Source organism: Homo sapiens, chromosome 2 (genome assembly GCF_000001405.40).
Source record: "Homo sapiens chromosome 2, GRCh38.p14 Primary Assembly".
Lineage (NCBI taxonomy): Eukaryota > Metazoa > Chordata > Mammalia > Primates > Hominidae > Homo > Homo sapiens.
In genome coordinates this window covers 64,225,665-64,253,552 of record NC_000002.12, presented here as the reverse complement: position 1 = coordinate 64,253,552, position 27,888 = coordinate 64,225,665, and the positions used below count along the sequence as shown (strand labels likewise).

Sequence of the window (27,888 nt, the reverse complement as noted above, 5' to 3'; positions counted from 1 at the left end):
CCTAGGAAAGCGGGACTTGCCACTGAGCGTGAAGGAGAAGGGGTTGAGGGGTACTTGGCCCTGCCCCAGGAAAGCAGGACTTGCCGCTGAGGGTGAAGGAGAAGGGGTTGAGGGGTACTTGCCCCTGCCCCAGGAAAGCGGGACTTGCCGCTGCAGGTGAAGAAGGGGTTGAGGGGTACTTGCCCCTGCCCCAGGAAAGCGGGACTTGCCGCTAAGGGTGAAGGACCAAGGCAGGTGTCCCTGCGTGGTCTGACACCCTTGAAACGTGAGTGTATAATCAGAGAGGCGTCCCTGCAATGATTAAACACCAAGGGAAGGCTGCCTTCCGTGACCGGCGCCGGAGTTTTGGGTTCATGGATAAAACGTGTCTCTTTTGTCTCTACCAGAAAATGAAAGGAATTGAAATTAAGAGAGGGGAGAGATTGAAGTGTGGCACCAAGATTGAAAGGAGAAAGAGGTTGAGGGGTAGTGAGGGACGTTGGAGAAGAGAGTAAAAAGAGGCTGCTTACTGGATTTGAAATTGGTGAGATGTTTCTTGGGCTGGTCGGTCTGAGGACCTGAGGTCGTAGGTGGATCTTTCTCACGGAGCAAAGAGCAGGAGGACAGGGGATTGATCTCCCAAGGGAGGTCCCCCGATCCGAGTCACGGCACCAAATTTCATGCATATCCATGTGAAGAGACCACCAAACAGGCTTTGTGTGAGCAATAAAGCTTTTAATCTCCTGGGTGCAGGCGGGCTGAGTCAGAAAAGAGAGTCAGCAAAAGGAGATAAGGGTGGAGCCGTTTTATAGGATTTGGGTAGGTAAAGGAAAATTACAGTCAAAGGGGGTTTGTTCTCTGGCAGGCAGGAGTGGGGGTCACAAGGTGCTCAGTGGGCAGGAGTGGGAGTCGCAAGATGCTCAGTGGGGGTGCTTTTTGAGCCAGGATGAGCCAGGAAAAGGACTTTCACAAGGTAATGTCATCAGTTAAGGCAAGGACCGGCCATTTACACTTCTTTTGTGGTGGAATGTCATCAGTCAAGGTGGGGCAAGGCATATTCACTTCTTTTGTGATTCTTCAGTTACTTCAGGCCATCTGGGCATATATACGGGCAAGTCACAGGGGATGCGATGGCTTGGCTTGGGCTCAGAGGCCTGACATGAAAGACCAATATGTAGGTATAAGTTTTCATCCCTTTATTCAAAAAATACACTAATGAAACTAAAAATATTATACTATAACTTTCTTTCCTTTTTGGATTGTAGCATTTACTGTATTTTTAGTTTTTATTGATACGACACAAAATTTCATAAAAGAACATTTCTGGCCATCATTATTTTCATTTCATGTTGTGATTATTACTAAAAACAGCTTTATTATATAGAGCAAAGAGGTTTTAAAACTGATGTAGTCTGGGTGTCAAACACTAGCCCTAGGGCTTCCAATCTGTTACCTGCTTTGTTTTTGTGGTTCCCTGACTCTCTTCCTCCCTTTAGCCTGGGCCTTCCCCTCCCCTCCCCCACCCACACCCCCATCACTCCAAACAAGACTTGTTAGAAAGGTAGATCTGATGCACTTAAAATAATTCACCTGTTCTCTCGGGTTCTTCAGTCTTTCTCCTACTTTTTCTTATAGAGAGTCAGGTTACGAAATTAGAAGAGTTAAAACTCAGTCCTTCACTCCCTTTTCCTATTTGCTGAGAGTAGAGATGAGCTGAAGCGTAATTGGCCAGGACTCACCAATCCACCTGAGAAGCTGAGAAGCTGAGCCAGGCTGGGGAGAGTGGGAGAAAGGATTCAGACAGCACAAACCCTACTTTGACTCTGACCTCAGGCATGCCGCCTCCAGCCAGGAGTACTCCTGGCTTTTCTTTCTGGAAGAGCATCTGAGAAAACATTGTCCTGAGATGTAAAACTGCCCTCCACACTCAGGCCCCCAGCATCACCCATCACTTCAGAGACAATAGAGTTTACATTTCAATGCATGCCCCATCCCACACCTCCTCCCAACTCTGAAGTTCCAACTCTGGTTGGCCCACTGCCCTTAACTCTGAAGAGTCGACTCAAAGCTACAGGGAATATCTTTCCCACCCAAATTTGGCATAGGAGGATCATCCCGCTTCAGTCCCCTGAAGGATCCTAAGTTACCGAACAGCGATTTATTATGTCATGAAGGGTCACGTTTCCTTCATGTTAGTGATGAGGGGAAAGTTATAGTATTTATTTTTCATTTTTACTTAGCTGAATATAATGAATTCCGCTGATGGCCTATTTCTGAAATCCACCAATCAAAGGAAATTGTAAAGTTCACCATAGTAACAGCTCTGTGTCAGTGGCCCGCGTGAGAACCACACAGCCTGGGAGGCACCGCAGCTGAGGAGGCACTGGCCAATGGTGGGGCAGAGTGATGTTACCATCTCATAGCAACCAAGGGATCTGCATGGCAACATCAGTTGCTATATAAAAGAAAAATTAGAAACAATATTCTGTTAGGGAGAAATAAAGATATTAACTGTTAAGTCATACTTGAGTCACATTTGTGAGGACCTATCCCAAAATATCCACCTAAACATAGCTCAGATGATACCTGCCAGATTCAAGTCCACATGCCAGGAACATTCTCCCCCACCAACTGGCACCACCTGAGGACTGAGAGAGAGGAGCATGTCCAGGGAACAGACTGCTTCTGCATAGGAAGGAGAGGGCCCTTTGAATACCAGTAACCACAGAGCATATTGGCGGGGTAAATTACACATAAATCATCACATTTAGTCCTGTGAGGGAGGCAGGGCAAAATTATTATTATCATCAAGTTCTCCATCTATCTCCCATCCCTTCCTCCCCCGGCTTTCCCATCTCAGTTAATAGCTACACAATTCTTCCAATTGTTCAGGCCAAAAACCTCTGAGTTCTCCTATTTTCTTTCTCTCACACCCACATCCACTCCATCAGAAATGCTATTCATTCTTCCTTCAAGCTATCTCCAGAATTCAGCCTTTTCTCACCACCTCCACAGCTACACCCTGGTCCACTCCACCACCTGTCACGCAGAGGCAATAGCCTCCTAACCCGTTTCCCTGCTTCCTGGGTAGGCTTGCCTATGGTCTATTCTCAACACAGCAACCAGAGTGACCCTTGCAAAACATAAGTCCTTGGCTCACAACCCTCCAATGACTTCCCATCCTATCTCAATGTAAAAGCCCAATCCTTCCCAGGACTACACGGCTTCACACACCTTGGCTAGGGAGCTGACCCATCTGCTGCTATTGTCTGCTTCTCTCAACTGCTCTAGCCACACTGGCGCCCTCACTGGGCTTCTAGCACATCAGGCTCCTTCCTACCACAGGGCCTTTGCACTAGCTACCTCTTGCAGAACATTCTTCCCCCAGAGACCCTCACTTCATTCAAGTGTCTACTCAGATGTCACCTTCTCAGTGAATTCTTCTCTGACTTATTTTAAAACTGGACTCTCTATACCCATAGCCCCTAACCCCCATCCCTAGCACCAGTGAGCACCTAGAACAGTGCTGGCATGCAGTAAGTACTCACTCAATATCTAACGATGAATAAAGGAAGCACTGTTTTACAGATAGTAGGGCTCAAGAAGCTAAATTATTTACTCAGAGGCTCCCAGCCAGGACGCATTAGAGCCTAGACTTGAACCCAGACTTACTCATGCAGTGACTCCCACACTGGGCTCTACACTCTCTATCTCACTTTGGCTTCCTTTTCCAGAACTACCACCGCTTCTAAGTGCCAGGAAAGCATGAATTCTCTGGGAAGGGAAGAGGAATGGCTGGGCTGATGGCGTGGCTGTGCAGACAGCCACAGCAGGAATAGAGAGTGGGGGTGAGCTGACCCAGACCCTGAGCAGTGCCCCGAGTGGAGCCACCCTTCCAAGGGAATCAGCAAGTATGGCTGAGACCATGTCAGCGTGACTGCCAATGACACCTCATTGATGATGACCTCTCCCTCCCTTCCAGGCCACTTCTCTTGGGTATAGAAACAACTCTTTTGAACATTCAGCATTCCTACCCCTGTATGTGCTTGGATCAAAAACAAAGATTTAAATGGAATTTTTAGTCTGTAAAGTGTTTTATCCTCATTTTTGCTAGTTTGTTATCAAGGAGTCTCAGAGTTGTATTAAGTGTATATTGCATGACTGATTGAAAAAAAATAGAGAAAATTCAGTCACCAGATGTTTTTTGGTCTATACAATAAATAGTTTTTGGTTAACAGAAGCAGCCTAGTATTGTGGGATTATGAAGAATAGCATTTTTCCATTAAAATTATGCTGAACACTGGTAACAGCATGCCCATATTCTCTACACTGAATCTGGTGGTGGAGGGTAAGGAGTGGAAGAAGAGATGAAGTGGGAGAGGGGAAAGACCACCCAGAAACAAGGCAGGGAGGGGAAAACCAAAGGCAAGAACATTTTGCTTCCATGGCCTATATCGGCAATTAGGAAATGCTGGTGTAGACACAGACATTGTCATCAATCTTGCTGTTGAAGAAAAAAAAATAGTCATGACTCTCTCACCAAGAAACTAGAAACATGAAAGACAAACCAATAACAATAATCACTACCGCTTTTTGAGCATTTACAATGTAGTACGCATTTTGCTAAGGGCTGGCATACAGTTTTACATTTAAGCCTCTTAGCAAACCTGGATGGGAGGAATTACCTCCCCATTTTATAGACTATTTACAGAGAAATTGAGTAACTTACCCAAGGCCGTACAACTAGAAAATGACAGAAATGATCTGGTTGCCTCCATAATCCCTGCATTTTTTTTTCTAATTTCCAGCTTTTATTTTAAGTTCAGGGGCACATGTGTAGGATGTGCAGGTTTGTTATATAAGTAAACGTGTGCCATGGTGGTTTGTTGCACAGATCATCTAACTACCTAGGTAAAGCCCAGCATGCATTAGCTATTCTTCCTGTTGCTCTCCCTCCTTCAGTCTCTGGCAGGGCCCAGTGTCTGTTGTTCCCCTCCCTGTGTCCATGTGTTCTCATCATTCAACTCCCACTTACACGTGAGAACATCCAGTATTTGGTTTTCTGTTCCTGCATTCTTTTGCTGAAGATAATAGCTTCCAGCTCCATCCATGTCCCTGCAAAGGGCATGATCTCATTCCTTTTTATGGCTGCATAGTATTCCATGGTGTATATGTACCACATTTTCTTTATCCAGTCTATCATTGATGGACATTTAGGTTGACTCCATGTCATTGCTACTGTGAACAGTGCTACAAGAAACATATGCATGCACGTATCTTTATAATAGAATAGAATGATTTATATTCCTTTAGGTATGTACCCAGTAATGGGATTTCTGGGTCAAATGGTATTTCTGTCTCTAGGTCTTTGAGGAATCGCCACACTGTCTTCCACAATGGTCCCTGTTTTTAACTGTTACATTGCACCTCCTCTCTCTACAATAAGATTAATTCACATGCTATAAAGAAACATGGAATACATATAAAATCAGGAGGTGATATAAGGAAACATAAAAAAAAAAAAAACCTCAGTGAAAGTTCTGATCATTTCCAAGAATGCAGAGCCCTGTGGGGAGAGCTAGGCAGGTGTGTGGAGGCCCTGAGGAACTTGCTTCACAGTTCCACTTCTCATCCCCAAGGTGACATCATCATCCCCTCTATTTTGCACCACAAAATTAGTTCAACAATGATGGAAAAGGAAATGTTAATGTCCTGCTCACAAAGGTTCATGTTGCCAAAAGTTGTAGAACACATACTATTCTCTAAACGTTTCCCTGTTGACATAAAACTCACAGGTAAGGTGTTTTGTTACATGGAGAACCCCAGGAGAGTTGAAATAGGGGATAGGGGGACCAAAGCTGTGTGCCCAAAGCAAATGTGTAACAATGAAACAGCAAAAGAACTAACAAAACTAACTCCATTTTTGTTGAAGGGGCCTCTACCCATTCCTGCAAGTAGGCTAGGATAATTTTAGAACACTGAGATAATATGCAAAAACAGCAATCCTGTAGTTTTTTAAACTAACTCTGGGATTAAAGGAGAAGTATGTAAACAACTATGTTTTGTTAAACGTTTATAGAAGCATTGTGATCTGACCAAGGACAAAGAAATTCCCAACCTTCTCAGACCCTCACTGACATGCAGATGTCTGTGATCACTGGTTACCTCTTGATTTTGACCTCCTCCTTTTCCCATGTTCTTAACATAAAAAGAGCCTAAAATTTGTACTGACTTAGGATGGTGCTTTAGGATACTAGTCTACCCTCTTCTCAGTTTGCTGGCCCTCCAAATAAACCTGCTTTTGCTCCCACCAATTCTTGTCTCTTGAGTTTTGGCTTCTGAATGGTGAGGAGCTGTAACTGAATGGAATCAGAGCACTGGAGTGTTCTGCTGAAACTTTTGGCCTGGCAGGGAGGAAAAAGCAGGCTTATATTAAAGCTGCTATTCTTTCTCAGCTGCATCACATTCATTCCAGTGCTTTGCCCCAGAAGCAAATATAAACCTAAACAGAAAAAAAAAAAAAAAGAAAAAAGACGTTTTTTGGATTCCTGAATTAAAAACAAAACTCCAGCCTAACTTTACCCATGAACATGAAACCAACATGCCATAGGACCTGGCATTCTGACACAGTCCAAGGCAGTTTCTACCCAGGCTAGACTTTCTGGGAAGCAAATGTTTTCCTGTATTCAAATGGATCTGTGTTACCTAATATCAGGACTAGCTCTCACCTCCTAGTTTACCTTTGCAGTGAAACTTCTGTTGATCACCCCAGACCTGAACTCCCTTAGCATGAGTTGTTTAGACCAGGCACCTGTGTATTTGCAAATACTGTAGAAGGCAGTATGACTTAGTGCAAAAGGTTCTGGGACCATAGAGCTGCAAGCTCAAATTCCAGCTCTGAGATTTGTTACTTGTGAGATTTTTGGCACGTGACTACCCTCTTCTACCTTTAGCTCCATCACCTGTCAAATGAACACAATTAAACCTATCTTACAGAAGTTTTTTGGTCAGGAATAAGTAAGTTATTACATTGGGAAAGAGCCTACTATAGTGCCTGGAACATACCAAGTTCAATTATTATTTTGCTCAATTATTATTTTAAAAGCAAAATACATACAGAAATGAACCAGGAGATGGTCAAAATTGGAATGTAGCATTCTAATTGGATATCAATCCTTGCTGAACTATCCTAATTAATTACATATGTATGGACTCCTCAGGAAAAAACTGAAGTACAATCAACCCCATCTCCAAAAAGGAGTCATCCTACTCACCAATTTTCGAGTGAAGTCTTCTATTTTTCCCTCAAAATTGAACATCAGCTTTCTTCTCAACATACTCAAGGACAAACCCCTAGTCTAATGATATTAAATACTACATTTAGGCTCAAGGATGATGGGTTGCCCTTATGATCATGTTCTACTGCATTTCAAGAAAGTTGTGGTTAAGGACAGTGTCATCTTTGTCTCAGTATCTGCAGGTCTTCTGCAGGTTAGTCTTTGAGTTCAAAAACAAAAAACACCTGAATAATCATGGTGTACATTTTGGGCTATAAATCCTATAAATCCTGTGTAAATGTACTTGCCCAAATCTAGAGTAGGTAGAAATAACCTTTTGACAAAAGGAAATCCCGATTTTAAATGATGTAAAGCAGAGCCTATGTTAGTCCCTCCCATTCTTTTAAACATCTGTGTAAATTATAAACAGTCCCCAACTTGCAGGAATTTCCTTTTTTTGGCATTTGGGATAGTGGAAAAGCCATATGCGTTCAGTAGAAATCATACTTTGAGTGCACATACAGCCATTCTGTTTTTCATTTTCAGTACAGTATTGAATAAATTTCACGAGATACTCAGCACTATTATAGGCTTTGTGTTAAACGATTTTGCACAACTATAGGCTAATGTAAGTGTTCTGAGCACTTTTAATGTAGGATAGGCTAAGCTATGATGTTTAGTAAGTTCCGTGCATTAAATGCATTTTTGACTTAATTTTTTTTCAACTTAAATAGACTTATCAGGACATAGCCCCATTGGGGAGCATTTGGTATTTGCCATAACCATTGGGAGGGTTAGATTGATGCCCTCCAGCCATTGGGAATAGAAAGACAAGCATCTTCCCTGGTGCTGATGTGAGTTTATCACTAGGGAATTGCAACAGCTTTATGAAGCAGTTGTACCTGTTGTCTGATTATTTGGAGACAATGTAGTTGAGCATAAACTGTGGAAATGGGGGATGGGGAAGGGGCCATGGTAATCTGCAGGCCCAGTTCAGGTATTTGGCTACTGGGGTGGAGAGTAGGAGCCCTGTGTATTTGCTGGAGGACTCAGTCAGCCCTGAAGGAAAAGAATGAAAAAGAAATATGTGGGACTGAAGGGAAGTTGGGGAAGCGGTCGAGAACTTGGATGCCTAGATTCTGCCTGGGTGCTCTGGCCGACTGTTGGTGTGGAAGGATGCTTCCAGATAATACAAAGGATAATGCTGCCCAAATAGCCCCTGAGCTAACTCTGGGGCTGTTGTCCCCTGTTCCCTAGAAAGAGGGCTATCAGGAACTAGAAAAGACAACGCCCTCCATTCAGGATGCTAATGAAAGAATCCTTAGGAAGAAAGCTCACTCTCAGAGCAGCATATACAGTCTCAGACAGCAGAGCAGGAGTGGCTCCATTCACAACTGCAAGAAATCTTCCAAGTAAGCGTCCAAAAAGAATGTGCAAGACATACTGCCCTTAGGCCCAGGCAAGAGGGGACCATGCTTTGGAGGACTCCACATGTCACAAACACAAAAAAGACATAATGTTAAAGAACACATGGACAGCTTTGTCCCTCAGCTCTTGCAACTGAGACCCTGACCCTAAACATCAGATCTCCTGACCTTCTCTGTTCAGGCTTCAGGGAAATGTTCCCCACATCTCTTGCCTCACATCCAAATGCCATCAGAGATGTGGATCTTGCTGCTGTGGACTTCAGAGATGGACACTGCTGCAGAGGTTTTATGGGTTTGAGTGGCTAAAACACAAGAGAAGACAACTTGCCCAACCTTTCCTCAGGTACCATGAATGGAATAGACTATTGCATTAAAGATTGCTTTGCAGTAGTGTTCAGAGGCAATTTTCTTGCTTTTTCTAAATATTCCAATTCATGGTTCAAAGAATAGCACATATTTTATAATTTGTTAGCTTGATTCAAAACATTTGAATAACTGTTGATACTTTTCTCTCAAACCCCACAAATGTTAGGGTGGGCCTGCCTGTGAGTCACCCAGGAACCTGTCACAGGACATGGGAAAGAACAGGGTGTGACTGAGATTCTGTTTCCTGGGGATTCATTACCTTTGCATCTATTATCCAATGCTTCTGTGTCCTCTCCCACAGGGTGTGTCTCAAAAAGGCCAGGATTACCAAACAGTGAAACCAAAATTCTCATATTTGGCAAACATTCTCTAATATTGATGTGGATGCCACCAATTAGGCTCATTCAACAGATCAACTCGGAAAGCACATTTGATAGCTGACTTGTTTGAGTAAAGGGAAGATTTTCTCTACCCCTTCTCCCACCCTAATCAATATACACTTCCCTATACCAGGTCTTTTCTATAGAGCTTCTGTGTCCTCCCTTCTGGGGAATGATGGAGAGGGAATCTCCATGTTTTCTCCCTAACTACTTGCTGTTGCTCCTCAAGGGAGGAAGGGCTGAACCAGTTGGCCAGAGCTTAACACTGACTAAGCCCCACTCTTATCTATGGTGGATTACATGTCTCATAATAGGAGGAACAGGCTCCAGCCTATCTAGTTCAAATTCTTCTTGTCCACCCCTGTGCTTCATTTATCCATATAGGAGCAAAACCAGCAAGGTCCTCTCACAAGGGGAGGCCAACCATTCTCTTCCCTGCCCTGTTCAGCCTTGACCTGGGGAGTGAGATGGACTTTGCCTCCACGCAGGTGGCTGGGTTAGTTGGAATCTGTGCTGCAGGCTTAGGCATGTGCCCAAAGACACACTGGACTTTGTGAGTCCTAAAGCAGAGATTTAGGGTCAAAGATGGGAGATCATAGGTCCAAGTCATACTCCCCAGCACAATTTGCCAGAATCCCTGTTTTTTGAAGGTACATTAGACAAAGTGGGCTAAGTAGCTGTGATGGAAGACCCACTAACTCAGAGAATGCAGAAGGTTGCCTCTGTCATATTTTGGTCTTAGATGACTCGCTCAGGGTTGGCAGACAGCTCTGAGCCACATAGTCCTTTGAGAGCTGGTACAGACAGTGTCTCTTGCTATCTTCAACATGCATCTCCCAGGGCTGCTCTATTCCAGCTATCCAGAAAGGGAAAGAGGACAGTCCAGGGCCAGAGATGACTCTTAAGTAAATAGGATGAAAGTTGCCCAAATCAATTCCTCCCAAACTCCAAAGGAGCCTGGGAAATAGAAGCACTGATTCTGGCAGACAGCTAGCATTCTCCACCACAGAGGAGTTACTGAGCCTTTGCAGGATTTAAGTTTAGTCCTTATTCTACAAGAACACATTAAGTGCTTATTTGTTTGTTTGTTTGTTCATGGTCTGGGTAGTTGACTGGCAATAGTTACAAAAACTTCTCAGCCAAAATCACCTGTTACATACAAATTGGTGCAGAACTCACAATCATTAGCTTGCTTCAATTATTTAAGCAGATTCAAAAATTCATTTTGGGATAAAAATAAAGTTATTTTAATAGGACTCATGAAGCCTATCTTGGGGTAGAAGAGGGATGACCCACCACCTGTAAGTTTCCTAAATTAATACATCTTTGTCAGTTTTATTGCCCTTCCTAAAGCTTATCAGTGCCCCTTGAATCAACACTAAGTTTATGACCCCTCCCTGATTAAGCTGTGATACCTTTTAGTTAAGAGACACAGCCTGAAGGATATATTAGTTTCATTCATTTAGGTTCTCCAAACAATAATCCTAACTTTCTATATTTCTAACTTCTCAGCTAAGATAATTGAAAAGCAATATACCTAGGGCATATTGTCTTAGTTCTCCCAACCCCCTCTGCCAAAATAATGGGTGAGTTTTTTTTTTAAGTTAGGTACTTGACATTTGGAAGATTAATTTTTTAAAAATCTATTTAACATCATTTGTTTTCAAAGCTTATCCACTACGATCAAGTAGGCTTTATCCTTGGGAGGCAAGGTTGGTTCAACATATGCAAATCAACAAATGTGATTCATCACACAAACAGAACTAAAGACAAAAACCACACGATTATCTCAATAGATGCAGAAAGGTTTTTAATAAAACATCCCTTCATATTAAAAACTCTCAATAAACTAGGTATTGAAGGAACATATCTCAAAATAATAAGAGCCATATATAACAAACACACAGCCAACATCACATTCAATGGGCAAAAGGCAGAAGCATTCCCCTTGAAAACTGGCACAAGACAAGAATGCCCTCTATCACCACTCCTATTCAACATAGTATTGGAAGTTCTGGCCAGAGCAATCAAGCAAAAGAAATAAATAAAAAGGCATTCAAATATGAAGACAGGAAGTCAAACTATCCCTGTTTGCAGATGACATGATCCTAGATCTAGAAAACCCCATCGTCTCAGCCCAAAAGCTTCTTAAGCTCATAAGCAACTTCAGCAAAGTCTCAGGATACAAAATCGATGTGCAAAAACTGCTAGCATTCCCATATACCAACAACAGTCAAGCCAAGAGCCAAATCACAAACAAACTTTCATTCATGATTGCCATAAAAGGAATAAAATACCTAGGAATACAGCTAACAAGGGAATTGAAAGATCTCCACAAGGAGAATTACAAACCACTGCTCAAAGAAATTACAGATGACACAAATAAATGGAAAAACCTTCCATACTCATGGATAGGAAGAATCAATATCATTAAAAGGGCCATACTGCCCAAAGCAATTTATAGATTCAATGCTATTTCTTTTAAACTACCATTGACATTCTTCACAGAACCATTTTTAAAGACTGTTCTAAACTGTAGAAAAAACTGTTTTAAAATTCATATGGAACAAAAAAAGAGCCTGAATAGCCAAGGTAATTCTAAGCAAAAAGAACAAAGCTAGAAGCATCACACTACCCACTTCAAACTACTACAGGGCTACAGTAACCAAAACAGCATGGTACTGGTAGAAGAACAGACACATAGACCAACAGAATGGAATACAGAACCCAGAAATATGACCACACAACTACAACTATCTGATTTTCAATAAACTTGACTCAAAAAAAACCAATAAGGAAAGGATTCTCCATTCAATAAATGCTGCTGGGATAACAGGCTAGCCATATGCAGAAAATTGAAACTGGACCCCTTCCTTACATCATATACAAAAATTAACTCAAGATAGATTAAAGACTTAAATATAAAACCTAAAACTATAAGAACACTGGAAGACAACCTAGGCAATACCATTCAGGACACAGGCATGAGCAAAGATTTCATGATGAAGGTGCCAAAAGCAATTTCAACAAAAGCAAACATTGACAAATGGGATCTAATTAAACTACAGAGCTTCTGCACAGCAAAAGAAACTATCAACAGAGTAAACAGACAACCTACAGAATGGGAGAACATTTTTGCAAACTATGCATCTGTCAAAGGTCTAATATCCAGCATCTATAAGGAACTTAAACAAATTTACAAGAAAAAAAAACCTCATTAAAAAGTGGGCAAAGGACATGAACAGACACTTCTCAAAAAAAAGACATACATGCAGCCAACAAGCATATTTAAAAAAGCTCAACATCACTAATCATTAGAGAAATGCAAATCAAAACCACAATGAGATATCACCTCACACCAGTTAGAATTACTATCATTAAAAAGTCAAAAAATAACAGATACTGGTGAGGTTGTGGAGAAAAACGAACACACTGTTGGTGGGACTGTAAATTAGTTCAACCACTGTGGAAGACAGTGTGGCAATTCCTCAAAGACCTAAGGACAGAAATACCATTTGACTCAGCAATCCCATTACTGAGTATATACTGAAAGGTATATTAAATTGTTCTATTGTCTATTACATAGTATAAAGACACATGCACACATATGTTCACTGCAGCACTATTCACAATAGCAAAGATATGAAATCAACTTAAATGCCCATCAATGATAGACTGGATAAAGAAAATGTGGTACATATACACCATGCAATACTATGCAGCCATGAAAAAGAATGAGATCATATCCTTGGCAGGGAGATGGATGGAACTGGTGGCTATTATCCTTAGCAAACTAACACAGTAACAGAAAACTAAATACCACATGTTCTCACTTATAATTGGGAGCTAAATGATGAGAATACATAGACACATACAGGAGAACAACACACACTGGGACCTATTAGAGGGTAGCAGGTAGGAGGAAGGGGAGGATCAGGAAAAATAACTAATGGATACTACGCATAATACCTGGGTGATGAAATAACCTGTACAACAAACCCCCATGACGCAAGTTTACTTATGTAACAAAACTGCACATCTTGCACATGTACCCCTGAACTTAAAAGTTTTTTTTAAAAAAATTTGTTTTTTAATTAAATAGTAATTGAACATATCACCGTTTAAGTTACTCATGATTTCTTATATAAGCATCTATGCAGTAAATTCCTTCTAAAATTTTAACCTGGAAAATTTTATAACTTCAAGTGAAGGTAATGAATCTATTATTTTTTCTTATAAGAACCATACAATCTATTCACACCCCTCATTATCTTAATTTCTAAGATTGGCACTAAACTTAATGATCAACTGTAATAATTAGTTCAATTCTGGTGCCTGAAATCTATGTCCCGATTTGCTTTACATTTTAATGAATGTTTTACTTTGGAATAATTTTAAATTTATAGAAAAATTATAAAATAATTTGTACAGAGAATTCCTGTAAATCCTTCACTCAGTTTCTCTTAATATTAACATCTTACTTAACCTTGGTACATTTGTCAAAACTAAGAAATTAACACTGGTGCATTTCTAATAACTAAACCACAGACTTTGGATATCACTAGTTTTTCCGCTAATGTCCTCTTTCTGTTCCAGGATATCTAACTGCATTTAGCCCAGTTTGTTTTAATTGAAATACAGCATCCTGGTTGAAAATCATTCCTAAGAAATTTAATGACTAGAAACTGGAAAAACATTTATTTAAGATTCACAAAAGGTTTTCTTTCTCAAACAAAAAAAATTGTCTACATTTTAATTTTTAAGCTATCATTTAATTTAAATATGGTTTGCTAAATGATAAGGAAATTAGATTTTTATACTTGAAAATTTAGAGAACTTATTAGATGTGGTTCATCAGGAAGGCTTAAGAAGCACATACCTATCATGGAATAACTTTATAAAAGAGAAATATCCCTCTTAAGAGTTTTGGCTTTCCTGTACCCCAATCCCAGTGATAGCCATAGAGATTCCTGTTGGTTCATAGCCAAAATTTAAATACTATCTTGGCCATGCACACCCAAAAAAAAACCAGAACAATAAAGTCCTTAGAAACAGAGCCTTTAGATACTTCTTTTGGAAACAGCGCTAGAATAGAGCTTCTAAGTCTTCTAATTGCTATTGCTGACGTAGTCTGCTGTAAAATTACAATAGTGAATAGGCAAGGACCGGAAGATTCCAAATTGTGAAACAATTTGGAGAGGTACTACAAATCATCTATCTTAAAAAAAAACATGGCTGTCAGAGCCTGGGACCTGATTCGGAAGACATCTCTGACTGGATAATGCTGATTATGAAAATTGCTGAAAGGTTATAAATAAAATGTTAAATAATACAGTACAGCTAATTCTTCAGGTGTTGATTCCATTCTCAAGTAAGAATCTACATGAATCAAGTAACAGCACACAACTTTCCTGGGGGTAAAGATGGGGAGCTAGGAAGCCCAAGGTAAATGCGCATTTTTATTCAGATTCTCGAAGAGGTATGTGACCCAAAAAGGGTTAAAAACTAATGTTATCTATATTATTTTGTAAACTGCATCTTTTAGTCGGTACATCTTGTCATCTTATCATGTCATTGAATATTCCTCTACAACATCTTTTCAAGTAGCTAGAAGAATTTTAATGTATGCATGTGCCGTTATTTGTTTAACTATTCTCCTAAAGTTGAACATTTAGTTTACTTCCCATTTTTGCCAGTATCAACTTGTAACTAAATCTTTGCATACATCCTTAATTATTTGCTTTAATACAGTAAAGGGGTTAAATTACAGGGACCAGGCTGGGCGCAGTGGCTCATGCCTGTAATCCCAACACTTTAGGAGGCTGAGGTGGGCAGATCAGGAGATCAGGAATTTGAGACCAGCCTGGCCAACATGGTGAAACTCTGTCTCTACTAAAAATACAAAAATTAGCTGGGTTTGGTGGTGGGCGCCTGTAATCCCAGCTACTCGGGAGGTTGAGGCAGGAGAATTGCTTGAACTCAGGAGGCGGAGGTTGCAGTGAGCCGAGATCGCGCCACTGCATTCAAGCCTGGGTGACAGAGCAAGACTCCATCTTGAGAAAAAAAAAATTATAGGGCCTAATATTTGCAATTGTGTATGGGAAAAACTGGCTTCACACAGGATATTTCATCCAGGTTTGAGATCATAACCTTCCTTTAAATCAAAGAGCACAAAGCTAGCAACTTCAAAAAATGAACATTTAACAGCATTTGTATTTATTTACATTGAATTGCTTTACCATTTCTTCAAGTTGCTTTACCATTGCTTCAATCAAAGCAGCAAAATGTTAGTAATGCTAAATTGAAAGAAATTCTGAAGGTGCCATCTGGAAATGGCAGCACCTTGGCCCTAAAAAGCATTCTTGACTCAATATTGAAGATACTTGTCATGGTATTTTTTTCTGATTCCAGGGAGTTTTAATATATGTTCAATTGAGTGATAATCTTAGAAAACAATCATGGACCTCTTCACTATGTTTCCAAGAAAGATCTCAAGCCTTCGAGATTAGCACAAATCTTAAAAGGTCATATCTGAGTACTTTTGGTTTCTTACCTCCTAAAAGGCAAACCAGGCCATTTGTTGTTTTGCCTGGTAACAAGAGGAAAGAGCTTCTAAAATTAGTGTGAAGCCAGACCTACTGTGAATTAATAATGAATAGAATCACTGATTCCATAAATAACAGGATTCAGGGTTGAGAAGGTCAGCTTGGCTGCACTCCTAGAGGAGTAAAAGCGCCTCCAAAGTTAATGCTAGAAATAAAAGGTAGGGAGCCATGATGTTTCTAAAGGAAACCTAAAGAAAATCTTGCTGTGCAGGATGAATTTCAGTAGTGGCCATTCTTAAAGTCAACTGCATCTCAGATAATCATAGTCAAAAAAGTAAAGCTAATGAACCTCATCCAACAACTTGGTTTAGGATTATTGTTTGTGATAGCGTACTTTCTGTCATGTTAGTCATCACCATGAAAAGCTGTTTTTAAAAAGTGATCCCAGGCTGGGCACGGTGGCTCACGCCTGTAATCTCAGCACTTTGGGAGGCTGAGGCGGGCGGATCACGAGGTCAGAAGATCGAGACCATCCCGGCTAACACGGTGAAACCCTGTCTCTACTAAAAATACAAAAAATTAGCTGGGCTTGGTGGCATGTGCCTATAGTCCCAGCTACTTGGGAGGCTGAGGCAGGAGAATCGCTTGAACCCAGGAGGCAGAGGCTGCAGTGAGCCAAGATCATGCCATTGCACTCCAGCCTGGGTGACAGAACAAGAATCTGTCTCAAAAAAAAAAAAGTGATCCCACTCTCAGAAAACATGAATAGGTCCCCGGCCTGTATAGCCCTCCCAACTGGCTTTGATCTTTCATACCTACATGTTGTCAGGTAAATTAATTTTTTTTTTTTTTTTTTTTGAGACAGAGTCTTGCTCTGTCACCCAGGCTGGAGTGCAGTGCCACAATCTCGGCTCACTGCCACCTCCACCTCCCAGGTTCAAGTGATTCTTCTGCCTCAGCCTCCCAAGTAGCTGGGATTACAGGCACCCACCACCATGCCTGGCTAACTTCTGTATTTTTAGTGGAGATGGGGTCTCACCATGTTGGCCAGGTTGGTCTAGAACTCCTGACCTCCAGTGATCCACCTGCCTTGGCCTCCCAAAGTGCTGGGATTACAGGCATAAGCCACCATGCTTTTTTTTTTTAGACAGGGTCTTGCTCTGTCGCCCAGGCTAGAGTGTAGAGGCATGATCTCGGCTCACTGCAACCTTCACCTCCCGGATTCAAACAATTCTCCTGCCTCAGCCTCCCGAGTAGCTGGGATTACAAGCGTGCCACCACGCCCAACTAATTTTGTATTTTTAGTAGAGACAGGGTCTCACCATGTTGGCCAGGCTGGTCTCAAACTCCTGACTCAGGTGATCCGCCCGCCTTGGCCTCCCAAAGTGCTGGGATTATAGGCCTGAGCCACTGGCCCGGCCGTCAGGTGAATTAATTTAACAGACAAGACAAAACCCTTAAGGCTACATTTGGATCCCCTATAGAGCTCTGATAGTCAAGGAATCTTGAAAGTAGCCCAACAGCCAAGAACTTGTCTCAAATTGTATTCCGTTTTCTTATTTCTGATGAAACTTGGTTTCCAGAGATGAATAGTAATCTCATTTTTTTTTGTACGTTCAGGTGTTCAATTGCTGTTGTTTTTCTAAAATGGTAGTTTTCTTCCCTTTAATCCACCGCTTCATGTCACCTTGTGATATCAAACAAGGATATCACATTTTGAACCACACTTAGCACAGGCCAAATACTTTATGAAATGGGCATGACTCAAACTTGACAAAGTGAAGAATAAAGACCCATGCTGCCCTTTTCCTAGAAAGCTGATGAATCCTTCACCAATTCTTTTCAGTAGTTTTGTTCCTGGCCCACAGGGCTGTTCGTTCTTCTCAGCACACACTATTTACGTATCTTTCACTACGGTACAGATTCTTCAAAGACCTTCCCTTTGTATCTCTAAGATAGCTAAGTATTTGAAACATCCACCCCATTTAATTAATGCAACCCAAATAGTAGAGATTAAATCATCCCAGGCTTCCAGGCAAATGGAGGCTCTTTCCTCTGGTAGGTCACAAACACACACACAAATAGAAGCAAATGTACACCTATGTAAAAATACCCATCGACTCCAGAACTGCTCACAACAGAATCTCGGGAAGCTGCCTTGTTACTAAAAGATCCCAAAATAAAAATACAAGAAAATAGATTCAAAGGAATAAGGTAAAATTTCACCTTTGGAGAGCTGGCTCTAGACAGGATAAACTTGATCCTGAATTTGGTCATAGCATGCAGTTTTTTCATGGGTTGGCACAGAGGACCAAGGAAGAGCAGACCTGGGAATCACAGGAATGCTCTATCTCAGGCTCATGGATGCATTGGCTGAGAGCCCCAAACACGTGAAAGTTCTATTGCCACTATCATGGTCCCACTGTGGGAAGACCCACTGTTAAGTCAGGTTACATGTTTGAAATCAAAATTTAAAAGTATGCTCCTCTAAGCTAATAGTATAGAACTGTACATGACCTTGGCCTACTCTAACCCAGTGAAACATTACCAGCTCAGTAGAGCAGAAAGAGGTCATTTTCAAAACTGGTTGAATTATAACAGGATTTCCTGAAGGCCAAGAGGAAACCATGCTGTTTCACTGCAAGCAAAGCAGAGTGGGCCAGGATAATAAAGTACTCAGGAGTGAATCCTGGCACAGAGAGAAATTAAAGAAACATGTGGCTGGACACTGTGGTTCACCCCTGGAATCCCAGCACTTTGGGAGGCTGAGGCGGGCGGATCACCTGAGGTCGGGAGTTCGAGACCAGCCTGACCAACATGGAGAAACCCTGTCTCTACTAAAAATACAAAATTAGCCAGGCGTGGTGTTGCATGCCTGTAATCCCAGCTACTTGGGAGGCTGAGGCAGGAGAATCACTTGAACCGGGGAGGCAGAGGTTGCAGTGAGCCGAGATCGTGCCATTACAATCCAGCCTGGGCAACAAGGTGAAACTCTGTCTCAAAAAAAAAAAAAAAAAAGAAAAGAAAAGAAACATGTAGGTGGGGATAAGAGTATTCTTAGGGGTTGGGTGGAGTCACACAGAGGTGCAAAAATAAACGAAATATATAGAATAGTACATCCACAGGTCAGGAATACCATGCCTCCACTTGCCCCAGGGTTCTGCACACTGCAGGCACTCAGTAAATGTTAATTGACTGAATTAATAGGCTTCATAGTTCCAACATGCAGTACAGTGCCTAATTGGCTAGTCCAGGCAAGCCCTCTTAATACTATATTTGGAGAACGAGAGACATGAACTGGTTGAGTGACCTCCTCAGGTTACCCTCTATGTTAGAAGCACAGCCAAGACAGGAGTCGAGGCACAAGCATCCACCAGCCACCAATGAACTGGCCCACCAACGACGAGGCCAGGAGCTGAGGAGGCAGGAATGCTAAGATAAATGGAATTTGAAGTCTAAATTCAGAGAATTTTCAGTTCTCTCGAATCACAAATGAGAACATTTAAAATGAACTCATCAAACTCTCTCACAGGGTGGCTCAAGAAATAGAAGCCTCCAAGTTCAAGTGAGAAGTTGTATAGGAAGAACTCTAAGATGGCACAAGGAAGGGCATGAGCTCTGGAAGCAGGCAGTCCTGGCTTTGAATCTAGCTCTATTACTCACCAGCCATGACCTGAAGCAACTTAACCTCTTCAAGACTCAGTTTCCTCGCCTCTAAAATGAAAATGATAATGACTGTCTCATAGAGTTGATGTGCAAAGTAAAGATGTGATATAAGCCCCTAACATCATGAGTGGTCCAAAATGGGCACTCAGGTACAAAGCCACAAACAAAATGCTAGTTATGACAATGATTCCACTAGGAACAGCAGAGCATCAGTCAGAGGTCGTGTAAAGTTTCCACTGACTTGATGATCTAAAGTAATGAATAAACACAGGAACAGGTCATTCAAACTGCAGATTACAAGGATAGTTTTTTTCAGTATGAGAAAAATGCTGTTTGGTAGCTCACAAGCAGATTTAACTCTGGAGCAGTGCCCTTGACGCAGAGCAGGCTGGGCTTTCTAAATTGTCTGCTCTCTCTCTCTTTCTTTCTCTCTCTGAGCTTCTGATACATAATATTCAGCAAATACACCACATACTGGAGAGTGGTATATCATATACCCTGTGACTGCATTTTACGACAGACTCCCAAGATTGAGGGCAGATGTACTATGCACTTGAATATGCCCAAAGTTTAAGAGTTAAGTTACTTAATGCTACATCCAGTGGCATCATTTGCAACAGAGCTGGCTACCAAAAATGCATTTGGGGATTCTCACTTTCCAACTAAAAACTACATTAAACCAGCACAGTGCATTGGCATTTTATATGAGACTGTAATAGTTGACAACATCCGTATCTCCATATCAAAGAGAAACCATCCCTTTTTCACAAGGACCTTATTTCAAAGGAGTTATACTTCTGAATGAGAGACAGTCCAACGATCTGGACCTAGAATCTCTGAGACTGTAGATGTTGAATAATATTAGTGTTATAAGAACCTCAGTTATTGTTATTGTTATTATTATTATTATTGAGATGGAGTCTCAATCTGTCGCCCAGGCTGGAGTGCAGTGGTACAATCTCAGCTCACTTCCACCTCCACTTCCCAGGTTCAAGCGATTCTCTTGCCTCAGCCTCCCAAGAAGCTGAGATTACAGGCGCACGCCAAGAAGTCCAGCTAATTTTTGTCACGCCAAGACGTCCAGCTAATTTTTGTATGCTTTTGTAGAGATGGGGTTTTGCCATGTTGGCCAGGCTGGTCTTGAACTCCTGGCCTCAAGCAGTCTGCCCACCTTGGCCTCCCAAAGGGCTGGGATTCCAGGTGTGAGCCACCTTGCCCGGCTTGACCTACGCTTTTCTAAGTCCATTTCTCAGTTCTCAGGTCACATCTGAGGTGTGTGTCAGTAGCATCCGACACAGTGATGACTCCCTTTCCTCTGAATTTGTTTCTTTACTTGGCTTCCAGCACAAACCCTTTCTTCATTTTCCTCCTATTCACTAGGCATTCCTTCTTAGACTGCTTCCCTGGTCCAGCCTTTTCTCTCTGACCTCATAATCTTGGAGGGCCCCAGGGCTCAGCCCTCGGGCACCTTTTCTTCCTTATTCACCCTCTTGGTGATCTCACCTGGTTTCATAGCATTAAATCATTAAATATCACCAGAAGCTGCCAAATGTGCACCTCCAGCTCAGACTTCTCTCCTGAACTCCAGACCTCTTTTTTTTTTTTTTTTTTTTTTTTGAGATGGAGTCCCACACTGTCACCCAGGCTGGAGTGCAGTGGCACAATCTCGGCTCACTGCAACCTCTGCCTCCAATGTTCAAGTGATTCTCCTGCCTCAGCCTCCCAAGTAGCTGGAATTACAGGCACCTGCCACCACGCCCAGCTAATTTTTGTATTTTTAGTAGAGACGGGGTTTCGCCATGTTGGCCAGCTGGTCTCGAACTCCTGGCCTCAAGTGATCTGCCTGCCTCGGCCTCCCAAAGTGCTGGGATTACAAGTGTGAGCCACCACGCCCGTTTGAACTCCAGACCTTTATCCAGATGCCTGCTTCATGTATCAAACTTAACAAGTCCAAACTTGGACTTCTGTTCTTCCCTTTGAAGCCAGCTCCACTCCCAGTCTGCACTCTCTCAGTCGATGGTGACTCTATTCAAAACCTTTAGAGTCCTTCTGGACTCCTCTTACTTTTTTTTCTTTTCTCACATCCGAATCTTATTGGCTTCCTCTTCAAAATATATCCTGCATCCAACCACTTCTCACTACCTCCACTGCTGCCACTGTGTTCCAATCCATTGTCATCTCTCTCTTGGATTATCACATTCCCTTCCTCACGACAGTCTCACTGTCGCCCAGGCTGGAGTGCAGTGGAGCGATATCGGCTCACTACAACCTCAGTGATCTTCTGATAGCCTTGTAGTATAAAGCAATTCTCTCTCTTGACCCATCATAGCTGTCCAGGTACCATTTAAAGAATAACAACAACAAAAGGTGACCATTTAGACAATTTAAGAATTACATCCAAAAAGCAAACACATGGAGAAAAAAGCAAAACAAAATATAGGCTAGTGAGCACAATTAATTCCAATAGCCGGTTACAAATCCTTGCAACTTTCTCATTCCTTTAGGTTCAGAGAAGTCAGAAGACTTCAGGTTGAGGAAAGCCAGGAATATAAAAGCCAAGGTCAGCTTTTAATTTACCTTTAACATGATCAAAACTAAACTTTTGCCCGGGAGTTTTCTCAGTAACAAAGGTGAGCAATTCCACCTTCAAAGGCATTTTTGGGTCTACTCAACAGCTTCAATTGCAGTATACCCTGTTTTCCTCAAAATTAAGTTTCACATTTGTAAATGTTGATCAATAAACTAGTTCTGCTTTCCCAGGTTTCACGCTCAATTCTGAATGTCCTTAGGGGGACTCTGTGAAATTTATAAGGGCTCTGCTTCTTCTGCCTTCCTTTAAAGGATGGTGTTCCACTAAGATTCACCTTTCCATCTTCCACTCTCTTATCTTAATTTACATACTTTCGCTGGGTAATCTTGCCCACTTCTTCCCCTATGCTCATGACTCTCAACCCTCTACCTATCTCTAGCTCAGACCTCTCTCTTGAGCTTCAGATCCATATATCCCTGGATGTCCCATTCTCAAACACATAGTGCACATACAGAGTTCTTTCTCTCTGCCAAATGTACACCTCTTCCTCCCTTTCTTTTTCCTTACTGGTGCCAAGATTCATCTAATCACTCAGGCCAGAAACCTGAGCATGGTGCTATAAGATCACAGAGGAGAATCCAAGGATAGTAGCAATTTGCTGCAGGGTAGGAATGCAGGGAGGCATTCCAAGTGACATAATGTAACTATAGAGATGCCAAAATAAGAAAAAGCATGGTATGTGTGCTGTTAGGATAGAATAGGACAGGCTGAGGTAACAAATAAAACCCCATAATCTCAGTGGCTTTTGCTCATTAAAAAAATATATATATATGTCTTATGCCAATTGGTCAGCTTTCCTGCAACAGAAATTCAGGACCCAGCCTGCTTCCATTTTACAACCCACTGAGTTAGAGTTTTGCACATCCTAGCATATGGACAAAAGAGAATAAGCATGAAGAACTCAGACCCCCTCTTAGTCTTCCTGAACCAGAATGCCATATCCCTCCACTCACTTTTTTGTTGTCAAAAATTTGGTCAGTGTCCCAACCTAGCTGCAAAAAGAAACTGGGAGATGTCTTCTCATCTGCCTAGGAAGGTGAAATGAGGTAGTGAACATGTAGCATTTTCCCTACTATGACATGTTTAGGAAACCGTAAGAAGACTGGCATACCTGGAAACCAATGGGAATTATGGGTTGGATTGGGGGTGTAATATGTGTTGTGGAGAGAGGGTAGGTAGACAGTGCTAGGAGACACAAGAACGTAGGTACCATGGCCAATATAACTAGAAGGACTGGGTGGAGTCAAGAGCCTGAGTGCCATGCTAAGAATAGCATGCCAGTTCAATGGGAGTTTAAAGATGGGAAGTGAGCAAAGACAGGGAGAGGTGGTCAGTGGAGAATCCTAGAGCTCAAACTTCTCAACCTGAGAGCCCCAAGTAAAGGACCAGCTCTTGCTCCAGGACCAGCCTGAGGTTCCAATTGCTTTAAGAATCCATCGAGTGCAGACCAGGATATGAGACTCTGACCTAAAAACAAACTAAAAAGTTCTGTGTTCATTACCTCTGGACATTGTGTGATCCTTCCTCTAATGGCTTGGCTCCCAAAACCTCCCCACTGGCGCTCCCCTCTCAGCTGCATCCCAATTCCCTCCGCTGCACCCCAATTCCCTCCGCTGCACCCCAATTCCCTCCGCTGCACCCCAATTCCCTCCGCTGCATCCCATCTCCCTCCGCAGGCTCACCTCCCTTTTCTCTCCGGGTTCAGCCTTTCTTCTTGATTTTGATGGGTGCGGGTTCTTGGCCCCTTCTCATGGGGCTCTGCCTCCAGTAGTACGTGCTCCAGCTGACTTGCATTCTGTTTTACGCTCAGCCATCTTCAACCAGGCCTATCCAATCAAAATAATAACATTAATAACTAGTATGTACTAAATGGTTACTATATGCCAAGCGCTATTCAAACATGTTTTATAAGGTCATGTGCTGTATAACAATATTTCAGTCAATATACTATTGTGGTCCCATAAGAGTATAATACTGTATTTTTACTGTGTACTTTTTCTATGTTTAGATGTGTTTAGATACATAAATACTTACCAGTGTGCTACAATTGCCTGCAGTATTCAGTACCATAACATGCTGCACGAGTTTGTAGCCTAGCAGGAATAGGCTATACCATATATCCAAGGTGTGTAGAAGGCTACACCATCTGAGTCTGTGTAAGTACACACTATGATGTTCACACAAACTCATGATCGCCCAGTGACACATTTCTCTGATCTTAAGCAATGCATGACTGTATATAATTATTTATTCTCAGGAAAAAAACCATGAGGTAGGTGGTATTGTTATTGCTTTATGCAGATAAAGAAACAGATGCAAAAAAGGCTAACTTGCCACATTCATGGCGCTTATAAGTGGTCAAGCTAGAATCTGAATCCAGGATGTCTGGCTTTTAACTAGACGTAAGTTAAAAGTGCTATCGGTACTACTAAGTAAAGGATGAAGGAGAGGAAAGATAGAGACAACATGCCTTCATGATCTTGAAAGTAAAAAAAGAATGCAAGTAGCAGTTGTAATCACTAAGAAGGGAGAAGAAACAGTCTCCATTGTAGATAATTGCAAAGAAGGAGGCGCCACCAGAGGATAAAAAGCCTCCAATCATTCACACAAGGGACATTTGTTTCTTAAAAGGGAGACAAACTCCTGGAAGAGAATAGATACGCCTGATTTTTTCTCAGTGGAATTTCACTTGCCCTGGCAGGTGGGTGGCAGGGAGATCTGAGGCCCCTCGAATTACAGCTCCTGGGCCCTGCCTCAGAAAAGTCCATTCGTCTCGGTAGAACCCCTCCCACAGACTCACAATGTGGCCGTCTCGAGCTGGCCCGAGGCTGGACGTGCAGTCAGCCGAGCACACAAAATGAGAACTGTTTCCCTGCGTGCAGCTGGCGCGCGCTTTCCGCTAGTCGCAGCTGCTTGGAGCCCTGCGCGCTGGCGGGGCCACGCCCCCGATGAATATTCATGCCCAGCTTGGGCTCGGGAGCCCAGGATTTCAAAGCCCCTGAAGGGATTTGAGGGGCGAAGGAGCTTCCTGATAGGGAGTTAGAAGGAAGGAAGGAGCCGGGCTTTGTACGGGCTTGCTTTTGAAGACTACAAAGAGGAAGGGTCACATGGAAAGTCAAATCCCGGGTTGCTAATCTAGGCTAGGTCAAGTTTGCAATGAGAGCTAGCTCCCTCCCTCCTTGTAATTTATCGAGTCTTTCAATGTCCTTTCACACAGACAACGTGCAATTACTGGTGTTTCGCAGACAGGCTCTCTTTCTAGCACTGGGGAGCATGAAAACAACCGAGAGTAGGCTTTTAGCTGGATTTTAAGTGCTTACTTCATAACTCTTACCCAGTTAAACGTCTGCGATGACAACGCTCCTTCTTCTCACATAGGTTTCTGTGCATGGATTTTAATTTGCACACATTCTTTACCTAATCTATGATTTTTAGATACGTCAGTCTGTCATGGGCTAGAAACTTAAAAAAAAAAAAACAAAACTTTTAAAATGGATATACTCTTAGGTCTAGTTGAGACACTAAGTATTAACCCTATTTATTAGCACTCAAGTTTGGCTATTATTTTTATTAATGGAGAGATTTCCCAGCACAGATCATCTGAAAGAGTAGATAGTTCCCAAATGCATTTCACTGACTTATATATAATACTAGGTGGGCTTTTGAGTAAGTGGATTCACTGTCTTTTGTTGTTGTTGGGGCCATAAAAGTGTTTACTTTAGAATCCACTTAACAGAAATTACTGGAGCTTTATTGAGTGCCTCTATTCCATTAATCCCTCCATTAAGAGAGAGGCTTAATGCTTTTTACCTACAAATTGGAAATGGAAGAAATAACATTGGGAGGAAACCAAAGAATAAACAGGAATATATTGTGAAAGCATTTAGCTTACCTTAAATGAAGGCAAACCCCTCCCCCACCCCACTTCCATAATGGAGAACTGAACAAACATGCAGATATGAGGGTAGAACCACTGCGAGCAGCCCACGGGATCTTATGGGAAATAGGACGAGGATCAGACAAAGGACATAAACAAATATCCCCATAAACTTGGATTCTAGCAATTATAGACAGACACATTTGCCATCAATCCCCAGCAAAGTTCTAGATTGAATAGTTAAGCAAGCAGCTAGTGAGCACTTTAGAAAGGTGACTCCTAAGAACCAGTAAGAGTTCACCAGAACTAGTCAAGCCAAACTGTATTTCCTTTTTATTTATTTTTAAAAAACAAAATGCTTGACTTCATCACAATCCCAAAAACAACGAACATATTGACAAAAGGATGACCTATGTCCCCCAACCTTTTCTTTTTTTTCTATAATGGACTCAGTATTCAGAATTGCTAAATTGAGTATCTGGTTGCTATATTAGTCCATTCTTGCATTGCTGTAAAGAAATACCTGAGACTGGGTAATTTATAAGAAAGGAGGTTTAATTGGCTCATGGTTCCGCAAGCTGTCCATAGTGGCATCTGCTCCTGAGGAGGCCTTGGAAAGTTTACAATCCTAGTGGAAGGCAAAGGGGGAGCAACATCTTACATAACCAGAGCAAGAGGAAGGCGAGAGGGAGGTGCTACACACTTTTAAACACCCAGACCTCATGAGAACTCTATCAGGAGAATAGCACGAAGGAGATGGTGCTAAACCATTCATGAGAAATCCACCTCCATGATCCAACCACCTCCCACGAGGCTCCACGTCCAACATTAGGGATTACAATTCAACATGAGATCTGGGTGGAGACACAGATCCTACACCATATCAGTAGCCAAAAGAGAATAGACTTTAGAGCCAGAAGGAACTGGGTTTGATTCCAGGCTCTGCAACTTACTATTTATGTGAGTAGATTGGACATCTCTGAATCTCAGTTGTCACAACTGCAAAATGAGAATAGAATATTTACTTCATAGATATTAAAGAAAATACATAGGTACTCATAGGTACTCAAGAAAGGGCAATCATTATTAAGATGCAGTTCAAAAGGTACAAATACAAACATAAACTGAGGAAAGAGAAGAGCTGAATCAAATAGTTCATATAGAAAGAATTTTTTAATTTATCAAAAGCTCAATATGAAATAACAAAGTAACATGTTTCAGGTGCAGACTGAAGCTTATTAATATTAGTACATGGAAGCCAATAGTAAAGAGTCCCAATTAATTTTACTTGGTCAGATCCTATCTGAAATTCTCTGCCCCCTTTTGGGTAGCACACCTGAAAGGGAGCAAGGAAAAATTAAATAACATCCAGGATGATGTAAGACCCAGGAACCACAATATCTGAGAAATAATTGAAAGAAATGGTGGTTTTTATCTAGAAGAGGTTACAAAATGGCTGTCTTCTGATAATTGAAGAGCTGTGATGTAGAATAGGTATAAAATGGGTTTGTATGGCTCTAAACGGTAGAATTAGGAGACATGATTAGACGTTGCTGTGAGATAGATTTTAGACTTGAACATGTAGAAGAGCTGTTCAACGTAGCAATGAGCATTCCTGAAAAATAGTAAGCTCACAATTACTGAAAGAATTCCTACAATGAGTAGAATTCAGCTGTCAAGAAAAGTGTAGAAGAGATTATGGCATTGGAAAAGAGTGGCCTAGTCTTAGAGTTAGTCATACACCATATACATGCCACCACCCCCAGCAATGGGAGTCTATG

General features: G+C 41.8%; 1 long non-coding RNA gene across 1 annotated transcript, besides 6 other annotated features; it reads right to left on the bottom strand.

The window, feature by feature from the left end:
- Nucleotides 1-702: an enhancer, noted in NCBI's record as "NANOG-H3K27ac-H3K4me1 hESC enhancer chr2:64479985-64480686 (GRCh37/hg19 assembly coordinates)". NCBI's record gives its function as "activates a minimal SCP1, AML or CMV promoter by ChIP-STARR-seq in naive H9 embryonic stem cells {active_cell/tissue: H9 hESC(naive)}" and the evidence as "EXISTENCE:reporter gene assay evidence [ECO:0000049][PMID:30033119]".
- Nucleotides 703-1,404: an enhancer, noted in NCBI's record as "OCT4-NANOG-H3K27ac hESC enhancer chr2:64479283-64479984 (GRCh37/hg19 assembly coordinates)". NCBI's record gives its function as "activates a minimal SCP1, AML or CMV promoter by ChIP-STARR-seq in naive H9 embryonic stem cells {active_cell/tissue: H9 hESC(naive)}" and the evidence as "EXISTENCE:reporter gene assay evidence [ECO:0000049][PMID:30033119]".
- Nucleotides 1,022-25,152, bottom strand: LOC100507006 (uncharacterized). Its single transcript, NR_120420.1, has 5 exons — nucleotides 25,031-25,152; nucleotides 23,913-24,056; nucleotides 2,216-2,434; nucleotides 1,570-1,752; nucleotides 1,022-1,133 (listed from the first exon to the last, which is right to left on the bottom strand). It is a non-coding gene; the product is annotated as an uncharacterized LOC100507006 (long non-coding RNA).
- Nucleotides 24,578-25,286: an enhancer, noted in NCBI's record as "OCT4-NANOG-H3K27ac-H3K4me1 hESC enhancer chr2:64455401-64456109 (GRCh37/hg19 assembly coordinates)". NCBI's record gives its function as "activates a minimal SCP1, AML or CMV promoter by ChIP-STARR-seq in naive H9 embryonic stem cells {active_cell/tissue: H9 hESC(naive)}" and the evidence as "EXISTENCE:reporter gene assay evidence [ECO:0000049][PMID:30033119]".
- Nucleotides 24,880-24,929: an enhancer, noted in NCBI's record as "active region_15886". NCBI's record gives its function as "activates an Ori minimal core promoter by ATAC-STARR-seq in GM12878 lymphoblastoid cells {active_cell/tissue: GM12878}" and the evidence as "EXISTENCE:reporter gene assay evidence [ECO:0000049][PMID:35858748]".
- Nucleotides 25,287-25,996: an enhancer, noted in NCBI's record as "OCT4-NANOG-H3K27ac-H3K4me1 hESC enhancer chr2:64454691-64455400 (GRCh37/hg19 assembly coordinates)". NCBI's record gives its function as "activates a minimal SCP1, AML or CMV promoter by ChIP-STARR-seq in naive H9 embryonic stem cells {active_cell/tissue: H9 hESC(naive)}" and the evidence as "EXISTENCE:reporter gene assay evidence [ECO:0000049][PMID:30033119]".
- Nucleotides 25,420-25,469: an enhancer, noted in NCBI's record as "active region_15885". NCBI's record gives its function as "activates an Ori minimal core promoter by ATAC-STARR-seq in GM12878 lymphoblastoid cells {active_cell/tissue: GM12878}" and the evidence as "EXISTENCE:reporter gene assay evidence [ECO:0000049][PMID:35858748]".